At 38.6% G+C, this 24767-nt stretch overlaps 1 protein-coding gene across 17 annotated transcripts in view; it reads left to right on the top strand.

Moving 5' to 3' along the window:
- The window catches only part of ZNF385D (zinc finger protein 385D), a 960546-nt gene that overhangs the window by 639899 nt on the left and 295880 nt on the right, over positions 1-24767 (top strand). The window lies entirely within an intron of this gene.

The raw sequence follows: 24767 nt of genomic DNA, 5'->3' as shown, positions 1-24767 counted from the left end.
CACTACAAAGAGCATAAGAGTCAAGCCACAGACAGGGAGAAAATGTTTGCAAAAAAATATTTCTGATAAAGGACTGTCATCCAAAATATACAGAGAACACTTCAAGGTCAAGAATAAGAAAACAAACAACCTGATTAAAAAGTGGGCCAAAGACTTTAGCAGATACTTTACCAAAGAAGATATACAGATAGAAAATAGGCATATGAAAAGGTGTTCCACATCATGTATCATTAGAGATATGCAAATTAAAACAACAATGAGATATTACTACACAGCTATCATAATAGTCAAAATCCAGAACACTGACAACACAAAATGCTGGCTTGAGTTTGGAGCAACAGGAACTCTCATTCATTGCTGCTGAGAATACAAAATGCTACAGGCACGTTAGAAGACAGTTTGGCAGTTTCTTACAAAACTAAACTTCTTTTTACCATATGATCCAGGAATCATCTTTCTTGGTATTTACCCTGAAGAAACTGAGAACTTGAGTCTACACCAAAACCTGAACATGGCCAGGCACGGTGGCTCACGCCTGTAATCCCAGCACTTTGAGAGGCCAAGGCAGGCAGATCACCTGAGGTCAGGAGTTCCAGACCAGACTGGCCAACATGGTGAAACCCCGTGTCTACTAAAAATACAAAAAAATTAGCCGGGTGTGGTGGCAGGCACCTGTAATCCCAGCTACTCGGGAGGCTGAGGCAGGAGAATCACTTGAACCTGGGAGGCGGAGGTTGCAGTGAGCTCGCGCCACTGCACTCAAGCCTGGGCAACAAAGAGCAAAACTCCGTTCTCAAAAAAAAAAAAAAAAAAAAAAAAAAAAAAAAAAAAAAACCCCGAAAAAAGAAAAAAACCCTGAATAGAAGCTTTATTCATAAGTGCCAAAACTTGGAAGCAACTAAGATGCTCTTCAGTAGATAAATGGATTTACTGTGGTATATCTACATGATGCTATATTATTAAGCACTAAAAATAAATGAACTACCAAGTGATGAAAAGGCATGGTGGGACATTAAATGCATATTAGCAAGTGAAAGAATCCAGTCTGAAAAGGCTGCATACTGTACTATTCCAACTACATTTGACCCTTGAATGACATGAGTTTGAACTGTGTGGGTTCATTTATGTGTGGCTTTTTTTCTATCAAATTCATATTCAAAATACAGTATTAGTGGGATTGCCAGGGGTTATAGGACAAGGGATTAATAGGTAGAACACAGAGGATTTTTAGCACAATGAAACTATTCTGTATGTTACTGTAATGAGGGATATGACATTACACATTTGTCCAAACCTACATAATGTACAACACCAAGAGTGAACCTTAATGTTAACGTACTCCATAAACTCTGGGTAGTTATGACATGTTAATGTAGGTTCATCAATTGAAACAAATGTACCACTGTGGTGGAGGATGTTGGTAACGGGACAGGCTATGAGTGTGTGAAGGCAGTGGGTATATGAGAACTCTGTGCTTACCCATTCAATATGGCTGTGAGCCTAAAACTGCTCTAAAAAATAGTCTATTAAAAAAAGAAAATGAACAAACACCTTACATATAAAGAAATATGCATTGCCAATGAAAATGCACTTCATAATAACAAAATGTAAATAAAAATAATAGACTATATCTAGTCCTTCACTTAATGGATTGGTAAATGTTTAAGAATTGAACACATGTTTAAGTATTAGGTGTGGGAAGGGCCATTCTTAAGTACAAATATGTGAAGGGAATACATTTTTGCAAACTCTGCACAAAATGATCATATTTAAATATGCATATATATTTTACAGCATGTACTCTTTGCCCTAATAAGCTTTTTAATAGGAATATACTGTATATTCCCAAAAGTTTACTTAGACATATCATTAAAGATATTAATGCAATGTTAGTTTTTAAAGCACAAACTGGAAACAACAAAAGTGAGCCTCAGTAGGAAAAGCATTAAGTAAAATTATGATGCATCCAAAATGCTGGAATAGGGTGCAGCCATGACCAAAATAAGCATATCTGTATTTTGTGATGTGGGAAGAAATCTACACTATAACAGCAAATAATGAAAGTAAGGCCCAAAAGGATAAAAAGAATCCTCTGGGGAGAAAAAATTTAAGAAGGCTTTTTGATAGCTACACTACTATAAGCAAGTACATTTCTAAAAAGAAACATAAGAACTCATGAGCAGTTGTTAGACTTGGAAGCAGGAATTACACTTTTTTTCTTTTACATCATTTTGTGCAGATAGAATGTGCCCCTGGGTCAGGGGTTTAGATCTCCTTTGTTCACTGCTCTATCGTTAGCATTAGACAGTGCCTGACACTTAGTAGATGCTCTAAACTGTATGTGGAATTATTATTATTTTTTTCTCATCAAGGGTTAGTTATCTGGCAATGGATTATGAACCATTTTTTTTCAGTTGTTTGGATATCTCTGCATTTACAAGGATAATAAATGTATTCTTTTAAAATGGCTTAAAAATGTGCAAAAGCTTCCCACATAGTTCTTTTGCCCAGACAATGTTGGAGAGCATAGTTGGGCATCGTCTTTTCCCCTTTGGGGAACTGTTTCAGATTCCAGGTCAGATGTTTGTGGTTAAGGCTCATCTGTGTTTTTAGATGGCAGGCTTTTCAGAGTCATCGCTGGTATAGTGCTGAGAAATGATTTTGATCCTATGCTCTGTGGTCAGGTTGTTCAGTTTCACTCCAACTTCTTGTGCCTATTAGGTGAAAGACCATGGTCAAATCCCTGGATGCGTGTGTCTGTCTCTTCGGGAGGTTGTTCTTAAATGAGATAATGTGTGTAGTTTGTATAATCCAACGTTAGTTGCACTAGGAAAACAAAGTTAGATGGTAGCATTCTATTATTTAGCAGGGAGTGTTGTAGTAATTAAAAGATAAGTGAGTGAAGGAAGAATGAATAAATGGATGAATGAAGTCCGTGCATTGTGAAAGCAGGTCTGGAGTAGGTTGCTCCTGCATTCCAGCAGGAGGGAATTTAATAAAAAGTCATCTGGTGATTTATTTCAAACAGGTTATACAATTAATCCCTTTCTAGATACAAGGAGCTGAGTTAGAACTGTAGGCCTAGTTTCTGGCAGATTTCCTGAGTGGATGTCATCCCCCTGGGTTATTAAGGTATTCTCTCTTTTTTGCCCTAGCTTTCTGGGCTTTTGCTGTCTTTCTAAACCTCTCATTTTCTTTTTGAGCCAGATTTTCCACCTAGTCAATTGACAGCCCAATTCAAGATTAGATTCTGAGAGATTACAGAAACCCAGTCTAGTAAGTCACTGGGTGAGCCCAAACCTTATCTTTAAAGTACCTTGTGGGGAGAGAGAAACCTCAATTCTAGTGGAGTTCCTCAGAGTTGATAAGATTGCCAAAGTCCTTAAGTCACACTGCCTTCCACTGCTTGTAGAAATGACAGTTTTATCTTTAAAGACGGTGGAGTGGGAAGATAATCCATTTTCACTGTGGGTTATAAAATAAATGTTGCTTCTTAATCTTAAAATAGCTTGAATGAGGGCCTTTTAGCCAAAGACTAGCAAATCAATATTTAAAGAAAGATGCCTTAATAAGCAAATTGATTTTAGGGTTTTATTGTTTTTAAAATTTTCGTTGCTTATATGTCTTTATGCCTCAAGGTGTAAGGAATACTTGAATCCTTGTAACTTTGATTTTTGCCATCAGTAAAACCAGAATGGTAGAAGACCTCTTGCTCACCCTTCCTTAATCTTTGCCAAAGAGAGTGGCTCAGCATGAAATGAAATAAGATTTTTATTTCTGTACTCAGAATACAGGCATTACAGAACAATAGTTAAGAGCATAGACAGTGAAGACATTTAAATATTTCACTAGTAGGTTCCTTGCATATGTGCTGAATTCTGCCATGCTCCAAACACTGTTCCAGACACTAGAGGTGAATCAGTGAACAAAACAAAGAAAGATAGCTGTGCTCAAATAATTTACATTTTCTTAGGAAGCGCCAGTTATTATACAAAAAATATAATCAATACATGAAGTATACAAAATGTTAGAATATAATAAGTGCCATGACTGCAAAGCTGTGTAGGGGTGAGCCGGCTTGCAGGAGTGGGCCTCATTAGGAAGGTAATATTTGAACCAAGATTTGAACGACTTGAATCTCCTCTGCCCCTCACTAGCTGAGTACATTGGGGAAGCTCCTGACCACACTTTCTCACCTGTAAAGTGGCAAAAATACATAACTTGTTTTGATGCTGTAAGAATTAACTGCACTAACCTTGGAAAAGCAACTGATGTATACTGTAGGTTCTCAGAAAGTTGTAGGGTTTCTATTGCTTATTTGATCATCACAAATTCAGGTGTTCTCAATTTTGTTTCAAAAAGGTAAGTAAAGAAGTTTTTTAATTGAATGCCTTTTGTTTCTTTAAAAGTGGATATGTGTCCTGCAATGCTGTCACACAGGTCTTGAATCTCTGTGTTCTGGTAAAACGTTAAATTCTGTTTTTCCATAACCTGAGTCTGGTAGATAAAATGCCACCATATTTGTTGTACATTTTAGGTGGACGTCTGCTTTTATTATTATTATTATTATTATTATTATTATTATACTTTAAGTTCTGGGATACATGGGCAGAACGTGCAGTTTTGTTACATAGGTATACACGTGACATGGTGGTTTGCTGCACCCATCAACCCGTCACTTACATTAGGTATTTCTCCTAATGCTATCCCTCTCCTAGCCCTCCACCACCCGACAGGCCGCGATGTGTGATGTTCACTCCCTGTGTCCATGTGTTCTCATTGTTCAACTCCCACGTATGAGTGAGAACATGCGGTGTTTGGTTTTCTGTTCCTGTGTTAGTTTGCTGAGAATGATGGTTTCCAGCTTCATCCATGTCCCTGCAAAGGACATGAACTCATCCTTTTTTATGGCCACATTTTCTTTATCTAGTCTATCATTGATGGACATTTGGGTTGGTTCCAAGTCTTTGCTATTGTGAATAGTGCCACAGTAAACATATGTGTGCTTGTGTCTTTATAGTTGAATGATTTATAATCCTTGGGGTATATACCCAATAATGGGATTGCTGGATCAAATGGTATTTCTGGTTCTAGATCCTTGAGGAATTGTCACACTGTTTTCCACAGTGGTTGAACTAATTTATACTCCCACCAACAGTGTAAGTGTTCCTATTTCTCCACATCCTCTCCAGCATCTGTTGTTTCCTGACTTTTTAATGATTGCCATTCTGACTGGCGTGAGATGGTATCTCATTGCGGTTTTGATTTGCATTTCTCTAATGACCAGTGATGAGCATTTTTTCATATGTTTCTTGGCTGCATAAATGTCTCCTTTTGAGAAGTGTCTGTTCATATCCTTTGCCCATTTTTGATGGGGTTGTTTTTTTCTTGTAAATTTGTTTAAGTTCTTTGTAGATTCTGGATATTAGCCTTTTGTCAGATGGATAGATTACAAAAATTTTCTCCCATTCTGTAGGTTGCCTGTTCCCTCTGATGATAGTTTCTTTTGCTGTGCAGAAGGTCTTTAGTTTAATTAGATACCATTTGTCAATTTTGGCTTTTGTTGCCATGGCTTTTGGTGTTTTGGACATAAATTCTTTGCCCATGCCTATGTCCTGAATGGTATTGCCTAGCTTTTCTTCTAGAATTTTTATGGTTTTAGGTCTTATGTTTAAGTATTTAGTCCATTTTTGAGTTAATTTTTGTATAAGGTGTAAGAAAGGGGTCCAGTTTCAGTTTTCTGCATATAGCTAGCCAGTTTTCCCACCACCACTTATTAAATAGGGAATCCTTTTCCCATTGCTTCTTTGTGTCAAGTTTGTCAAAGATCAGATGGCTGTAGATGTGTTGTTTTATTTCTGAGGGCTCTGTTCTGTTCCATTGGTCTATATATCTCTTTTGGTACCAGTACTATGCTGTTCTGGTTACTACAGCCTTGTAGTATAGTTTGAAGTCAGGTAGGGTAATGTCTCCAGCTTTGTTCTTTTTGCTTAGAATTCTCTTGGCTATGCGGGCTCTTTTTTGGTTCCATATGAAGTTTAAAGCAGTTTTCTCCTATTCTATGAAGAAAGTCAATGGTAGCTTGATGGGGATAGCATTAACTCTATAAACCACTTCGGGCAGTATAGGCATTTTCACGATATTGGTTCTTCCTATCCATGAGCATGCAAACTTTTTCCATTTGTTTTCATCCTCTCTTATTTCCTTGATCAGTGGTTTGTAGTTCTTGAAGAGGTCCTTCGTATCCCTTGTAAGTCGTATTCCTAGGTATTTTATTATCTTAGTAGCAATTGTGAATGAGAGTTCAATCATGATTTGGCTCTCTGTTTGTTATTGGTGTACAGGAACGCTTGTGATTTTTGCACATTGATTTTGTATCCTGAGATTTTGCTGAAGTTGTTTATCTGCTTAAGGAGATTTTGGGCTGAGATGATGGAGTTTTCTAAATATACGATCATGTCATCCGCAAACAGAGATAATTTGACTTCTTCTTTACCTATTTGAGTATCCTTTATTTCTTTCTCCTGCCTGATTGCCCTGGCCAGAACTTCCAGTATTATGTTGAATAGGAGTGGTGAGAGAGGGCATCCTTGTCTTATGCCGGTTTTCAAAGGGAATGCTTCCAGTTTTTGCCCATTCGGTATGATATTGGCTGTGGGTTTATCATAAATAGCTCTTATTATTTTGAAATATGTTCCATCGATATCTAGTTTATTGAGAGTTTTTAGCATGAAGGGGTGTTGAATTTTGTCGAAGGCCTTCTCTACATCTATTGAGATAATCATGTGGTTTTTGTCATTGGTTCTGTTTATGTGATGGATTATGTATATTGATTTGTGTATGTTGAACCAGCCTTGCCTCCCAGGTATGAAGCCGACTTGATCGTAGTGGATAAACTTTTTGATGTGCTGCTGGATTTGGTTTGCCAGTATTTTATTGAGGACTTGCACATTAATATTTATCAGGGATATTGGCCTGAAATTTTTTTTGTTATGTCTCTGCCGGGTTTTGGTGTCAGGATGATGCTGGCCTCATAAAATGAGTTAGGGAGGATTCTGTCTTTTTCTATTGCTTGGAATAGTTTCAGAAGGAATGGTACCAGCTACTGTTTGTACCTCTGGTAGAATTCAGCTGTCAATTTTTCTGGTCCTGGACTTTCTTTGGTTGGTAGGCTATTAACTATTCATCAATTTCAGAACTTGTTATTGTTCTATGCAGAGATTCGACTTTTCCTGGTTTAGATTTGGACGGGTGTATATGCCCAGGAATTTATCCATTTATTCTAGATTTTCTAGTTTATTTGTGTAGGAGTGTTTATACTGTTCTCTGATGGTAGTTTGTATTTCTTTGGGATCAGTTGTGATATCCCCTGTATCATTTTTTATTGCATCTATTTGATTCTTCTCTGTCTTCTTCTTTATTAATCTGGCTAGCGGTCTATCTATTTTGTTGATCTTTTCGAAAAAACAGCTCCTGGATTCATTGATTTTTTGAAGGGTTTTTCGTGTTTCTATCTCCTTCAGTTCCGCTCTGATCTTAGTTATTTCTTGCCTTCTGCTGGCTTTTGAATTTATTTGTTCTTGTTTCTCTAGTTCTTTTAATTGTGATGTTAGGGTGTTGATTTTGGATCTTTCCTGCTTTTTCTTGTGGGCTTCTAGTGCTATAAATTTCCCTCTACACGCTGCTTTAAATGTGTCCCAGAAATTCTGGTACATCGTGTCTTTGTTCTCTTTGGTTTCAAAGAACATCTTTATTTCTGCCCTCATTTTGTTATTTATCCAGTAGTCATTCAGGAGCACATTGTTCAGTTTTCATGTAATTGTTCAGTTTTGAGTGAGTTTCTTAATCCTGCGTACTAATTTGATTGCACTGTGGTCTGAGAGACTGTTTGTTATTATTTCTGTTCTTTTGCATTTGCTAAGGGTGTTTTACTTCCAATTATGTGGTCAATTTTAGAATAAGTGTGATGTAGTGCTGAGAAGAATGTATATTCTGTTGATTTGGGGTGGAGAGTTGTGTAGATGTCTATTAGGTCTGCTTGGTCCAGAGCTGAGTTCAAGTCCTGAATATCCTTGTTAACTTTCTGTCTTGTTGATCTGTCTAATATTGACAGTGGGGTGTTAAATTCTCCCACTAATATTGTGTGGGAGTTTAAGTCTCTTTGTAAGTCTCTAAGAACTTTCTTTATGAATCTGGGTGCTCCTGTCCTGGGTGCGTATATATTTAGTATAGTTAGCTCTTCTTGTTGCATTGATCCCTTTACCCTTATGTAATGCCCTTTTTGTCTCTTTTGATCTTTGTTGGTTTAAAGTCTGTTTGATCAGACATTAGGATTGCAACTCCTGCTTTTTTTTTTTTTTTTTTTTTTTTTTTTTTTTTTTTTTTTTGGCTTTCCATTTGCTTGGTAAATATTCCTGCATCCCTTTATTTTGAGCCTATGTGTGTCTTTGCATATGAGATGGGTCTCCTGAATACAGCACATTGATGGGTCTTGACTCTATGCAATGTGCCATTGTGTGTCTTTTAATTGGGTCATTTAGCCCTGTTACATTTAAGGTTAATATTGTTATGTGCGAATTTGAGCCTGTCATTATGATGCTAGCTGGTTATTTTGCCCATTAGTTGATGCAGTTCCTTCATAGTGTCGATGGTCTTTACAATTTGGTTTGTTTTTGCAGTGGCTGGTACTGGATGCTCCTTTCTATGTGTAGTGCTTCCTTCAGGAGCTCTTTTAAGGCAGGCCTGGTGGTGACAAAAATCTCTCAGCTTTTGCTTGTCTGTAAAGGATTTTATTTCTCCTTTGCTTATGAAGCTTAGTTTGGCTGGATATGAAATTCTAGCTTGAACATTCTTTTCTTTGAGAATGTTGAATATTGGCCCCCACTCTCTTCTGGCTTGTAGGGTTCCTGCAGAGAGATCCACTGTTAATCTGATGGGCTTCCCTTTGTGGGTAACCTGACCTTTCTCTCTGGCTGCCCTTAACATTTTTTCCTTCATTTCCACCATGGTAAATCTGACCATTATGTGTCTTGGGGTTGCTCTTCTCAAGGAGTATCTTCGTGGTGTTCTCTGTATTCCCTGAATTTGAATGTTGGCCTGCCTTGCTAGGTTGAGGAAGTTCTCCTGGATAATATCCTGAAGAGTGTTTTCCAACTTGGTTCTATTCTCCCTGTCACTTTCAAGCACATCAATCAAATGTAGATTTGGTCTTTTCACATAGTCCCATATTTCTTGGAGGCTTTGTTCATTCCTTCTTATTCTTTTTTCTCTAATCTTGTCTTCTTTATTTCATTAAATCGATCTTCAATCTCTGATATCCTTTCTTTCGCTTGATAAATTCGGCTATTTGATATTTGTGTATGCTTCACGAAGTTCTCATGCTGTGTTTTTCTGCTCCTTCAGGTCATTTATGTTCTTCTCTAAACTGGTTATTCTAGTTAGCAATTCGTCTAACCTTTTTTCAAGGTTCTTTGCTTCCTTGCATTGGGTTAGAACACGCTCCTTTAGCTCTGAGGAGTTTGTTATTACCCACCTTCTGAAGCATACTTCGGTCAATTTGTCAAACTTATTCTCCATGCAGTTTTGTTTCCTTGCTGGCGAGGAGTTTTGATCCTTTGGAGGAGAAGAGACGTTCTGGTTTTTGGAATTTTCACCCTTTTTGTGCTGGTTTCTCCCTATCTTTGTGGATTTATCTACCTTTCGTCTTTGATGTTGGTGACCTTTGGATGGGGTCTCTGAGTGGACATGCTCTTCCTTTCTCTTTGTTAGCTTTCCTTTGTTTTTTACCCTTTATAATATTGGGGAAACTGCCTGGGGCCTAACATGAGCAGGCTCAGCTCTGAGGCATCAAGACTGGAAGGAAGCACATGGCTGGGTGACAAATATGTGAGCTAGGACTCAAAGAGCTGTATCCGAGCCAGGGAACTAATTGAGGACAACCAGGTCATAGACCCAACATCCAAAAGTAGTACAAGCTCACACAGGTATGAGAAATGGAGGAGAAGACAGAAAAATCCGGTGGATGAAACCAAATATACTGTAGATACACTGTAGAAGGCAGTCAGGGTCACTTGCAAGTTCTAGGACCTTTGTTTGGTGCCAGCAGGCTTCAAAATTGGTTTGAAACATGGAGAAGAGGATCTGATCTCCTTTGTGTGGAAGTTGGCAAAAGAATCTAGATCATATTGGGGGAAGAATTCAGAGAGAATGTGAGGTGTGAGACATGGAATGTTCATGGGTCTGACGATGCTGCTTTTTGAGGAAAAGCAACACTGAATATCAGAGGCACTGTGGCGCCCACGCCTTATTACTAGCCCATCTGGGAGCACAACCAACTTGCAACTTCCTCTAGCAGGAGGAGCCTAGACTCCTGAGAAGCAGGCCTGGGCCTGATTTGTGGGTGCCATTGCATTTCTTGGCCATGAGAAGAGCAAGGCAAACAAGACCTAAGCACTAGATAGTTACAAGCTTTGGTGGTTTTCAAGAGCAAAGGGGAGAGGACGAGAGAGGAAGAAGGATAGATACAAACATCCTACAAAATGTCTATTGTTCACACAGTAGTGCTGAAGGAAAAGGTTTTATTCAGAGCTGCTTGCTATTTTACTCAACCACAGGGAAGGGAAATGCTATTGTAAAGCAGGTCTGTTAGAAACAGCAACTTTGCTGGGGGCTGCCATTGACTTACTTTACTTGTCCCCTTTGGGACTTAGCACCACCCCTGCTGCTCTCCTGTGTTTGCAAATACCTCTTTTTTTTTTTTTTTTTTGAGACAGAGTCTCACTCTGTCTCCAAAGTTGGAGTGCAGTGGCACGATCTTGGCTCACTGCAGCCTCCGCCTCCCGGGTTCAAGTGATTCTCCTCCCTCAGCCTCCTGAGTAGCTGGGACTATAGGCACACGCCACCACGCCCAGTTAATTTTGTGTATTTTTAGTAGGGATGGGTTTCGCCATTTTGGCCAGGCTGGTCTTGAACTCCTGACCTCAGGTGATCCACCCGCCTGGGCCTCCCAAAGTGCTGGGAATACAGGCGTGAGCCACCGCGCCTGGCCACAAATATCTCTTTAAGATAGGATACTGTTACAGTTCTGACTTAAAATGTGAGGCTTGGCTCCAGACTCCATGATGATCCTTATAAAATAAAGTGGAGAGGCTTTGTGGATTTATAAATGCATCTTTTCCATAAAGTATAGCATTTCACGTGCATAACTTAAAATAGTCTGAAATGATATTAGTATCATTGCTAAGGGATTTAAGAATCGAAAATATTTTAAAGTAAATTAGGTAGCCTACCAAATAGGATTTTCTTGTCCTCATTTTGATTATTAAATCTCAAAGAAACTCAAAGCAAAAAAATAAGTTACTTTTTTATATTTGAAGATGGGGATTTTCCTCTGTTTGTGTGGAGTCTTTTTTAGGATCTGCCAAATGTTGATGCTCTCTTCTCTGGACTATTTCTTTTTATAACCATGGGAAGGCTATTTTAGACCACCGAGAGACAGAGCCTGTCTAAAGATTTTAGTTGCCCTTTCTTCATATCAAATGAAATGTCCATCAATATTCTTATCTCACCCACTCTGCTTCAGCGTTCTACCTGAAGGTAAGAATCTTAAATGGACTGACTGGTTCCTGAGTCTTGGAACGTACAGAGTAAGCACTGACGCTGGCTGAGACCTTTTAGGGGACTCATAGACAACCAGTATAGCAATGGAGGGGGCAAAGTCATTATGCTCCTTTCTAAGGATATAAACCGCAAGAGTATGTTTTCGAATAAACTTTGTCCACTAGAAAAAAGAAAAAAAAAACCTGTTACAACTTTCTTTTGATAAGAAAGGATATGTTTTTTAAAAATTAAATAGAAGAAATTCTAAGCAAAGCGTGTCATTTAGCACATGGGCATATACTGTTTATCTCCCTGCTCCATTATCAAGTTAATCTTACAGGAAAAAGGTACAAATAATTGCGTGGTTGCAATCACGCACTTTTTGTCACCATATGGAAATCATTCTGAGAACCTCCTTTTTCTTCCCAAACCCCACTACTACCCTACAATAGAAGGTCTTTAAATTAAATGCCAGAGGACTCATGGGGCAAACATATTGTTAACATAGCCAATCAGAAATATGTGCTAAATTTATAGCTACACAGAAAGAAAAAGACCTTGATGACTTCTCCAAGTCACTCTTCTCAAACCGGAATTTGCAGCAGAATCACTCAGAGAGCTTGTGAAACACAGATTGCTGGGCCTCACTCCCAGAGCTTTTGGCTTCGGATTCAGTATATCTGAGGTAGGGCCTGAGAATTGGCATTTTTTTTGAGACAGGGTCTTGTTCTGTTGCCCAGGCTCCAGTGCAGTGGCACAGTCATAGCTCACTGAAGCCCTGAACTCCTGAGCTCAAGTGATCTTCCCATCTCAGCCTCCTGAGTAACTGGGAGTACAGATGTGTACCACCACACCAGGATAACATTTAAATTTTTGTAGAGACTAGGGTCTCACGATGTTGCCCAGGCTGGTTTAGAACTTCTGGGCTGGAGGGATCCTCCTGCCTCAGCCTCCCAAAGTACTGGGATTTGAGTCACTGCACCTGGCCAGAATTTGTATTTCTAACAAGTTTCCCGATGATGACGATGCTGCTGGTCTAGGGACTATACTTAAGAATAGCTATTCTAGGCCAGTGGCTCTCAGCCTTGGCTGCACATTTCAGTCACCTGAGGAAAGTTTTTGAAATTCCAATGCCCAGGCCATACCCCCAACCAATTTAAATTAGATTCTCTAGAGGTGAGAACTGGGCATTAGTATTTTTTCAAGATCCCACACTAGATGATTCTAGTGCGCAGCTAAGTTTCACAACCACTATTCTAGGTCCACTTTTCTTTCTCCTTATTTTTCAAATGAAAAAATATAGGCCAAGAGAAGTGAAATCATCTGAGGTCATACAGCTAGTTATGAGAGAGAGAGTTCTCCTGATTGTGTTGATGGCTGATGTACTATCTGGGTTCTTGTCTTCTTAGTTTAAAAGAATTTAAACAAGAAACACACAGCAAAAGAGATGCAGCATAGAGTAATTTACTGCAGGGGAAAAAGAATATTTTGTAAGTTAGGTGCAGAATAGACATTATACTCTGAGAGAGAGAGTTCCAGTCGGGCTGCTTCTAAGGATCGGACTGGCGCTAGAGAGTCTTACATGATTATTCATGAGGGGGTGGAAAGAATAAGCATGTTTTGGGTGGTCCTCTGGGTGCACAAGTGCAGTAGCTATACATGCTTGTTCATACGTCATATGTCTCATTAGCATCTTAAATCTCTACCCAGGGGTGTGTTTTTTTACTATTAAAATGAGCAAAGGATCAGTTTGAGGATCGGTAAAATTAAAGTGCGCGTGCTCTCTCCAGAGGAAATTCCCTACTGGAGATACCTTTGCTTGAGTGAGCTCAATTACAGTGCAAATGCTGAGGCTTATTGTGTTGGCTCTACAGTCACCAGGGTTGCTGCATCCAGAGAACACGGTCAGTTCCTTGACTACTTATTCTGCCTCATGTGGACCAGGGCACTTTAACAATATGACACTTCTTACCAGTATGCCTGGATTTAAAATTTAGTAACAAGTACATAACGTGACCACCTGGGATCTGATGCTGATTGAGGAGGTGTGGGGTGGTATCTGAGATTCTGCAGTTCTGAGAAGCCCCCAGGTTTTGCCCATGCAGTTGGTTCACAGACTACTGAGTATCAAGGTTGAAATATACCTTTGCCTGGGCTTTATCAGTACTGTATTTTAAATGCAAATGATGGAAGCCATGGGCCCAAATGCAAGATAATAGCTACTACAAGGAAAATTAGCATATCTTGGGCACTGTATCAGACTAATTTGTAGCCGCTTAAAATTTTAGAAGTTTTTGAATAATTTTTCTTCATTAATTTTTTTGGGTTAGAATTTTAACAATTTTTAAATTTTTAACTATTTGATGAAAATACAGTTTTAAGTGAAGAAAAAAGTAAAAATTGATTTGGAGACAAATAAACCTTACAATACTAATCATTTTAAAAATTGATTCAGTTGTGATTGTCAGTTTGGCCTGAACATTCTCCATTCAGGTTGAGAACCAAATACTTTAATCATTTTAGTTTTTATCTTTGCAGATTTATATTTAGGAAAAGGTAGTACAGAAATGTGGTTGTGATTTTGGCCTCTGGAATTTGAATGTCTGGGCTCAAGTCCAAGCTTTGCCACTAACAAGCTATTTAGTTATTATTTAATTAATACTTAATCTTGATGAAGTTCCATTTTCTCATCTATAGAGATAATGGCACCTGCCTTGTAGGATTTTTGAGAGGATTAAATAAGATAATATGTGTAAAGTTCTTAGCAAATATCCGGGCACGTAGTAAGTGCTTAGATAAATACTGGCTTTCGTTGTTATCATACCTTGTTGGCTGGTGGCTACAGATGGCTGACTAATGTAGACACCAGTGGTTCCCAGAACTTAGTCTTCTGACTGGGCTTTCAGGAATGTCCCTGGAAGGGTTTCTCTGGAGACTGAGTAAGAACCATTCTTCATATCAACCCCAAGGGATCAAATTGCAGAGTGGAGTCTGAGTAGGAACCATGGAAGGATTGATCAGGAGTAAATCTGGAAAAGCATTCCAAGAAATCTCCCAGTGGGCTTGCCTAGAAGGCCCATATGGCTTACTTCTGAAATACATCATGTAGATTCATTTGTGGGAGACATATGCCAAGCAACCCTGTTCACTTTTTATTTAGCCTAGTGATTTAAAAAGTGCAGTCCCAACACCAGCAACAACAGAATCACCTGGGGGCTTGATAGAAATAGAAATTCTGTGGTGCCTCCCCAGACTTATTGAATTTGAAACTTTGAGATGCAACTCACCAGTCTGTGTTTTAAGAAGCCTTCCTGATGAATCTGATGCAGACGAGAATTTGAGAAGCTTTGCTATAGGAATGTAGTAGTCCATTTTTATGCTGTTAATAAAGACATACCTGAGACTGGGTAATTTATAAAGAAAAAGAAGTTTAATGGACTCACAGTTCCACATGGCTAGAAAGGCCTCACAATCATGGCAGAAGGTGAAAGGCACGTTTTACAGGGTGGCAGATAAGAGAGAATGAGAACCAAGTGAAAGGGGTTTCCCTTTATAAAACTATCAGATCTCATGAGACTTATTCACTACCACAAGAACAGCATGGGGGAAACCGCCCCCCTGATTCAATTATCTCCCACTGGATCCCTCCACGTGGGAATTATGAGAGCTACAATTTAATGTGAGATTTGGGTGGGGACACAGTGAAACTATATCAAGTCATAAGCAATTCTAAAGGATTTTAACCAGAGGAGTGACATGCTGAGGCTTTGTATTTTGGCAAGATTACATTGGCAGAACTATTAAGCACTGATCGCAATCTCTGTATCAAGGACCTCAGAGAGAAACAGAAAGTCATCACAAGGGATTTGAAAACCCCATGTGCGTTCCAAATACTGTCTGTAAGTTTGAAAATTTAAGAGAGTTTCAGAATATCCTCCTGTGCATACCTTTTCTGCTCCTCTTTGAATGTATTATGTGATTTTATGATTTAAAGAGGAGAACTTAGTTAAAGGCATAACTGTATTCACAAAAACTTTTGCCTTGTATTTTTTCAGTCAGTGCCTACTCAGAAGTAACCATTTATACATTTATTAACCCAGTATTCAGTGAGAATTTGCTATGTGTCAGGAATCTTGTTGTTATTGTTATTGTCGTTGCCAGGTTGGAGTGCAGTGGCGCAATCTTGGCTCTCTGCAACCTCCACCTCTCAGGTTCAAGCGATTCTCCTGCCTCAGACTCCTGAGTAGCTGGGACTACAGGCGCACATCACCACACTACACCACATCACAGCTAATTTTTGTATTTTTAGTAGAGACGGGGTTTCACCATGTTGGCCAGGATGGTCTCGATCTCTTGACCTTGTGATCCACCCGCCTCAGCCTCCCAAAGTCCTGGGATTACAGGTATGAGCCACCGCACCAGCCTGGAAATTTTGTTAGGCGCTGAGGGCAGAGCAATGAACAAAACAAAACAAAAAACAACAACAACAAAAATTCTAACCTGATAGAACTTACATTTTAGTGGAGATATAACAAGATAAATAAGTAAAGTGTTCTCTATGCTGTATGAAAATACATTTTTAAGTAGAAAAATGAAGAAGGGGAGGGTGAAGAGAAATAAGGGGTCAGGGAAGATTTCAATGAAAAGGTGAACTCTGAGTAACATAATTAAGAAGCCGAGAAATCAAGCCAGGCACATATCTAGGCAAAACATCATCCCAGGCACAGGTTATTCATAGTCATTGTGGAAGTCCTGAGGGAAAACTGTCTCTGGTATGTCAGAGAAATAATACAGAGGCCAGCATGGGTGGAGGGACATGAGAGGAGCACAGAGTTATAGGAGATGTGCTTCAGGAGATGAGAATGGTAATGGTGGGGATCATCTAGGGAGATTATAGAGTGATCATATGGGGACTTTAGGACATTATAAGGCCTTTGTTGTCACTCAGAGTGAGATGGAAGGTATTGGCAGTTTCTGAGGAATAAATGAAAAGGATCTGACATATGTGTGGCTGCTGTGTTGGGAATAGCTTGAATATGGACAAGGGAAGAAACAAGGAAACTAGCTACAAAGCTATCAAAATATTTCAGATGAGGCTTGATGGTGCCACGTATAAGAGTGGTGACATTGGAGGTGGTAAGAAATGTGTACTTTGGGAAGTAGAGTGGACAGGATCTGCTGAGGGGTTGGGTGTGGGGTATTGAGATTGATTCAAAGTTTCAGGGTTATTCAGGGTTATTCAAAGTTATTCAAAGTTGAATAACTAGATAGATGAAGCTGCCGTTTCCTGAGATGAAGATGATTTTGAGAGAAACAGATTTGAAGGGTGAATAGCTGGAGTTTGGTTTTGGACATGCAAGGCTTTTAAAATACCTATTAGATCTCCAAATGTAAATGCTGAGTAGGCAATTAGATATATGGAGTCCGAAGTCTAGGGGAGAAGTCTAGACTAGAGATGCAAATGTAAGTTATTAGCAGATAGATAATATTTAAAACATGAGATTGGAAGAGATTGCCAAAGAAATTAGTACAGATAACATATAGATAGAAATTTGGTGAGTTATAAGGATGAAACACTATGGAAAACAGTATGTGGATTTCTTAAGAACTAAAACTAGAACTACCATTCAATCCAGCAATCCCACTACTGGGTGTCTACTCAAAGGAAAAAAAAATCAATATATTTAAAAAAAGCATGTGAACTCATATGTTTCTTGCAGCACTATTCAAAATAGCAAAGATATGGAATCACCCTAAGTATCCATCAATGGATGATTAGATTTAGAAAATGTGGTATACCTATACAATGGAATACTATTCAGCCATTAAAAAGGAATGGAATTATGGCTTTTGCAGCAACTTGGATGGAACTGGAGGTCATTATCTCAAGTGAAACTAGGCAGACACAGAAAGACAAATATCACATGGTCTCACCCATACGTGGGTGCTTAAAAAAAAGGTGAACACCATTGGTATAGAGAGTGGAATGATAGACAATGGAAACTTGAACGAGTAATGGGGTGAGAGGAGAGGGAATGAGGAAAAAATACTTAATGAGTACACTGTACATTATTCAGGTGATGGATACCCTGAAAGTCTTGAATTGACCACGATGCATGTAACAAAATTGCGCTTGTACCCCATAAATGTATATAAATTTTAGAAGTACATTATCCATTGCAAAAAAAATAGCAAATATGTAAGACGAACAAGTGGAAAGATTTAAAATACAACCTGAAAACTATAATTAATAATCCTGTATTATATTCAGGAATTTTGCTAAATGAGTAGATTATAGCTGTTCTTGCCAAGGGCATCGGGCAGAGGGTAACTATGTGAGATGATGTATACGTTCATCTGTTACATTTTAGTAACCATTTTAATATGCATGTGTGTCTTATAATATCATGCTATATATCATAAACATACACAATGAAATTTATTTTTTTAAAAAGAGAGAGTAGGAACAGGGATTTTAGAGACAGAAATTATAGATAACCCTCTCATGGAGCTTTGCTGTAAAGGGAAGGTGAGAATGAAGTGTTAGCTGGAGATGGATATAGGATCAGGAAAATTGCTTTGTTTGTTTTTGTTTTTGAAGATTGGAGAAATAATACATGTTGGAAAATTAATAGGACACAGTAAGGAGGAAAAACTTATGATGCAAACGAGAAAGAGAGGAGTAGAAGAGTGGTGTCTGTGTTCAGGCTTCAGGGCAGGAATCAAGAGGAGAGATTGGCCTTAGCTTGGAATATTGTTCATCCATAAAAAGTGGGAGTGGTAGAGTAGGTAGGCACAGATAAGAATATGGGAATTTATGATACTTATCTTCTGTTGTTTCCATTCTTTAGTGAGGCTCAGAAGTGAGCCTTTAGTGACGTTTTAGTGAGGCTCAGAAGTGGATGGGGAAAGAGGTGTTGGAGGTTTCATGAGAAAACTGAAACATAAAAGACTTATGAAATAACTTAGTCTAGGGAAGCAGGAAAGTGAATGAATGTGCTCAGTAAGTGTCAGGAAAGGTAGTTTGTTTACTGGACAGCAGGAAGGTCTGCCGGAAGGCCCACTTACTGTTAATGACCATGGGTTTTAATTGAGAGCAGTTATTATGGGCACAGTTAATATCTTCTCTCACCAAATCAGCTGTATGGGTGAAGGCAGGAGTAGGCACAGATTTAAATTTAAGCAGAATTTCATTTAGCCAAGGGAGCAAAGAACCAATAAAGTGTTAGAGGGTTGAGGATGTGTGCGTGGGTGTTATTATATTGATTGACCAAAGGCTTAAGCTGGGTAGAGAAAAGATCAGGAACAGGGTAAAGGGCTGAAAAGGTGGTAGGATCCATAGACTTTGGGTCCCAGGGTTGAAAGACTCAGTTGATGTAAAAGGAGAGTGACATGTAAACTTTAAAAAAGGTGGTGTTTGAAGAATAGGATGTTTGAAACTGAGATTCTAGTAAAGTTGCAGTTATTGGTAATGACAAAATGCAGTCTCTGACTGTGGGACTGGGTGGTATGGGTAGGGTAGAAGACAAGATTTTTGGAGAAGAGGAGGCTAAGGATCAGATACTCCAGTGAACTGGACATATGGACTATGGGTATATCAAAATCACTAAAAATTATGTCAGTTGTAGTGTAGGAGACAGTGATAGGGAACGAAGTGCTATAACCATCAAGAAGAGAGTAGCCCCAGGTCAGCAATGACAGTGGCAATGGAAGGTAGTGATTGTTTGGAGGATATGAAATTTGAAGCTAGGAGAGAGAAGGAGGGAAGGAGACCAGCCTGGAGATGGTGATGAAGAGCACTTAGAATGTATACCCCACCTCTATGCCCAGTGGTATCAGGAGGGTGGAAGAGAAAACAGACACCACATGACAGATTACAGGGGGTGCAGTGCCCTCAGCACCAAGATGGTGAAAAGAAACATCATTGAAGAAGATTGCAGAGCACTCAAGTTTGGGCTCTCAATTTACTTCTGCTATGGACAAGTGCAGGTCTGCAGATGGGCAGTCTTCTTTTTATAGTTTGGAACTTCCCTTGTACACTGCTGGCTCTTCTTGTTCTTTGCACTTCCTTTGAGGTTGGTGAGCAGGTATTCTTAACTCCACATGTGTGGGTGTGCCCTTGGCTTCTGAAAATGGAAACAGAGGAGCCATCTTAATTTAAGTGCATAGGGTATTCTCTTGGCCTTCTTCATCAGTGGCTCCAAGGATGGCCAAGTTGGCATAGTGGGCAAGTGAAAGAAAATTATTTTTACACCGAAGAGTGATTCTTATGTCCAAAAAAGTGGCACCACTGGCAAGTTGGAAATAGTGTTTGTGCATGTGTATTTGTGTGTGTGATGGGTTGAGACTGAAAGCATTAAAGCCAGTTAGGAGTCTGTTGCAATATTTCAGGGGATAAATGGAGAAGGAATTAATTCACTGACAGTAAAGGCAGAAAGCTTGTGGTAGATTTAAGAAATAAATTACTCTTGATAGAGTAGAGAGAACTGTATTTGCTCAGAGTAGATAAAGGCAACCAACAGGTTTTATGTATTCAGACAATAGTAAAAACCCGTTTTCAAGTGCATATATATTTGCAAACTGGGATATTCTTCATAGGAACGATTCTCATTTTTTTCTGCATGAAACTTCCACATTAGAAATCAATATATATAGACAGTGAAATTTCTCAAGTCATTTTACAGCGGTGTTACAAGTGACAGACTTTTTTTAAAAAAAGTTTACTTTTCTATTATTTAAAATAAATTTGATAATGGCTTAAACCTCTTGAAGGTATACAAAGATGTTACAGATTGTAGAAACATTGTTCAAATGTAGGGATGGAAGTGACATTCCACATAATGAAGTAAGAGAAGAGACCGTGAGTTCAATCAGCCAATGGGCTATGCTAGGGTGGGTGGGGCAGGTGTTCACTGGAGAATAAGGAATGCAAGGCACCTGGCTTAAATGGGCAGGGATCCTGCTCTGTAACATGGGTCTCAGATTCCTACTGTGATGGCTTAGAAGTAGACGTGTACAATGGAGAGAGAGAAGGATTGCAGAGATACATAATGGTTTTCAAGAAGGAAGGATGTTTTAGGGCAGAAAGACCATAGTAAAGGGAGGTGCAAAGGTGGGAAAGAGCAAGTTTGGGGAATCATTACCTGACTATTGCCATCGAGGGAAAGGGCTGTGGTGGTAGCTGGTAGCAGAAGAGGCCAGAAATGGTGGGGTACACCTTTTAAAAAGGTTTCAAATCCTTCACCAAATAAATAATTAGATAGTATTGTTATAATCAGCTATAGGATATTATGGAAGATTATAATTAGCAAAGTGACATTTACATAATTGTGTGTTTTTTAAGAAAGCAGTTGTTTGGCCTATAATTCCATACTTGTATTCTGTAGGATTGTCACACCTAATGATATGCAAAAGGTAGAAAAATGGGTTACCAGATGGAATTCCTACCTCAGTCCAGCTCACTATATCTCAGAATTCTTTCCCACAGCTCTTGGAGGAAATAGGGCTTAGCATTAGATGTTGCTGTTTATTTCCTGTTAATATCTTTGGAGATGCATATGTCAGTAAAAATAAAAATAAACATCCAGATTACTTGGATGCATTTTAAAATTTGAAGAGGCAGAATGAGTGAGTGTTTTTGGGGATGGGAGATGGGGAATTTCTGTCTGTTTTCTCTATAAGATAGCAACAGACTGCATGTCAATGATGTATGGGTTCTGGGGCTATCTGAACTGGATTACTTTTAACAGAATTGTCGTTTAATTACTGTCGTTTTTAAAAAATGTGTTGAAGCGAGTGAGGTGAATCATTTCTAAATTTCTGAATGATTTCTCCAATCTTTACAAACTTATTAATAGAATATTAGAAATTTTGAAATCAATTTAGGGGAAAAAGATTACGTATTTAATTTATATGAAACTTTTGGCGGCCGGGCGCGGTGGCTCATGCCTGTAATCCCAGCACTTTGGGAGGCCGAGGCGGGTGGATCACGAGGTCAGGAGATCGAGACCATCCTGGCTAACACGGTGAAACCCTGACTCTACTAAAAATACCAAAAATTAGCCGGGCGTGATGGTGGGCTCCTGTAGTCCCAGCTACTCGGGAGGCTGAGGCAGGAGAATGGCGTGAACACGGGAGGCGGAAGTTGCAGTGAGCCGAGATCACGCCACTGCACTCCATCCTAGGCGACAGAGCAAGACTCCATCTCAAAAAAAAAAAAAAAAAAAACTTTTAGAGGGATAAGGAAATTAAGACCTAGAGAGGTTTAAGTTGCTCAAAGACAAAAGTCACATCGCTATGATAGAGGAAGGAATGGGGAAAATCAGAGAGCATTTAGATTAGAAAAGTGACTTTATTATTATGGTCATGAGTGAGTGATGGCTGAATTCTAAGAAGAACTTCTTAACATCAAGGCTGTGGATCAATTAATCAGCCTAGCTCATGTAGTAATGCATTCCCCCACCCTAGAAGTATTCAATGAGAGGTTACATAACTTCTTTGGAGAAAACATTACATGGAGATGTTCAAGCATTCATGCTTCAAAGACCTTAAATATTGCTTCCAACACTAAAAGTCTGCAGAATTATCATAGATCCTTTTTTGTCTATGGTTTAAGATATCTTGTCCCAAACATGCATGAGTATAAGTAAAAACAACTGAGCATCAAAGCTGAGAAAATGCGAGGACTGTAACATACTAATTTAAAATGCAGTACAGATTGGGCACTGCTCACCAATATGCATTGTGGCATCGAATGATTCTCAGGTTATGGAGGATTATGAAAAACACAAAAAGAAGCCAGTGCACCTTAAGGAATTCAGAAAAAGCCATACAGTTGAACTTTATAAAAAATAAATTGGGTTTTAGGAATTACACAGGTAATCTTAACCATATCACCCTACCCCAGTCTCACCAGATCATTGGGTCTTGCAGAGCCAATTTACTAAAAAAGCAAGTATCTATCTATTTATTTTCGTAAAAGTGTAAATTACTCCTTTTGATCTTTAGTCCTATAAATTTTGACAAATGCATGCAGTCTATGTAACCACTACCACATCAATCAAAATATGAAACTGTTCCATTTTCTCCCCCAAACTCCTTCATGTCTTTTATTCTAAACCATACCCCCATACCCAACTCCTGAAAGCGCTTGTCTGATATCTGTTTCTGTAGTTTTACCTTTTCTAAAAGGTCGTGTAATTGAAGCCATGATAGAGTATGTAGTCTTTTGAAACTGGCTCATCTCAATCATCCCAAAGCCCTTGAGATTCATCCATGTTTTGTGTATCAATAACTCGTTCCTTTTTATTGCTAAGAAGAATTCCACGTATGGGTGTGCCGTAGCTTGTCAATCTGTTCACTTCATTGAAGGACAGTTTGTTTCCAGTTTTTGGTGATTATAAAGAGTGCACCGTATACATCTTCAAATAGGTTTTTCGTAAAGTTTTTACTTTTCTTGGGAAGACACCTAGGAGTGGGACAGCTGAGTCATATATTAAGTGTATATCTAACTTTATACAAAACTGGAAAACTATTGAATTTACTTTTACAATAAATATTGAAAAAACATATAGAGGCGTCCCTCTTATCTATGACTTTTCTTCTGCTAAAACTAGTATGTGATGTTTTTCTCTTATAGTTTATTTAACCTTGAGGTGTTTAGTTCTAATATCATTCAAGAGTCACTTCTATTGAAAAGACTTGGGAAATTGATGCTTTAAGAGTAGACAAGGAGGCTAAAGAAAAAGGTGAGTCTTGTTTTGTTTTGTTTTGTTTTGTTTTCATAGAAGCCTCAGGAGGTATGAAGTTGCCTGAGAGAACCCCTGCTTCTGTTAAGAGTATGGTCAGTCACCTTAGGGTTAGAGAGGGTTTCTGGAAACTCATGGGGACTAAATTATTAGTAAAAAGCAGGTACAGACAACTCTGGCTCGAAAAATTAGAAAGTCATTGAATGTTTGGAAGGAAGATTAGCATAGAAAACACAATATATCTGCCTTTGAGTACACTGCTTCATCAAAGCACAGTGAATTTATGTGTATCATTGTTTCTGAAAGGAACGTGAGATCCTGAAGGAGATGGAAAATGGAAATAAACATTATGGTATCCACTAATACTCATGTAAAATATATAATATGTTACTGACAGCACCATATTTGTGGTTTGTGCATTTTATTTTAAGAAATATGAGAGGAAGTATTGAGCCTGTGAGAGTTTTAATTACAACCTAAGTTCCAATCTACCCATGTGTTCCTAAATCTCTCACTGTGGCTTCTTCTACCATGGAAGCTTTCGAAACAAACCTTTGCCTTTAAGGAGAAACTGCCTTATGATAGTTAAGTTTTAGTAAGGACATTAAGATCAGTATATTATTGTTGTTGTTAGTGTGTGTGTGTGTGTGTGTGTGTGCACGCCCACACACACTTCGGATGCTTTAATTATTGGCTTAATTAAACAGATTTAGAAAGGAAAAATAACCAACAAAGTCTACTGATGCAAATCTGTTGAAATTCTTAGAAAACTAAATGTATTGCTTTATGAAAGTTGATGACAAAATAAAAATATTAGAATGAGGGGAGAATCAAACCAAGCTGTAATAAAATAATTTTTAACATTGAATACAAAAAATCTGTAAAAACATAGAAAATGATAAGGAGTGAAAGCATCTTTTAAAATTTAGTAATGTAATAGAGTAATTTCAAATTTATTTCCACATTTTGGGACTTGGGTGAGGAATGTCCATGGGTCAGGAGAAGCCAATAAGTAGACTGGAACATTCAGGAATCATAAATTATAGGAGGAGGGAATAACAGTTCAGAGCAGTGGCATTAGGCAAGAGTAACTGAGTTTACCTGAGTTTAAATCCTATTTCTTCCGCTTAAGAGCTGTGCCATCTTGGGTAAGTTACTTTACTCTAGCTGAGAGCAAATAACACCACCCTCATTGTGTTGCTGTAAGCGTTACATGAAATACTGCTTGCAGAGTTCCCAGCCCAAGGCCTAGAACATAATAAGTTCTTAGCAGTTACTGCTGCTGCCCATTTGAGTAACAGTAGCTAAAATTAACCCAGAAAGACTGATTTCCTTTTACTTTTTTCCTTATAAGCACCAACAAATTTAAACTGATGCTTAGGATCTTTGACCTAATATTAGAACTTGGCTTGTCATGGAGAT

Source organism: Homo sapiens, chromosome 3, assembly GCF_000001405.40.
Source record: "Homo sapiens chromosome 3, GRCh38.p14 Primary Assembly".
Lineage (NCBI taxonomy): Eukaryota > Metazoa > Chordata > Mammalia > Primates > Hominidae > Homo > Homo sapiens.
This window is presented reverse-complemented; position numbering and strand designations above follow the sequence as displayed.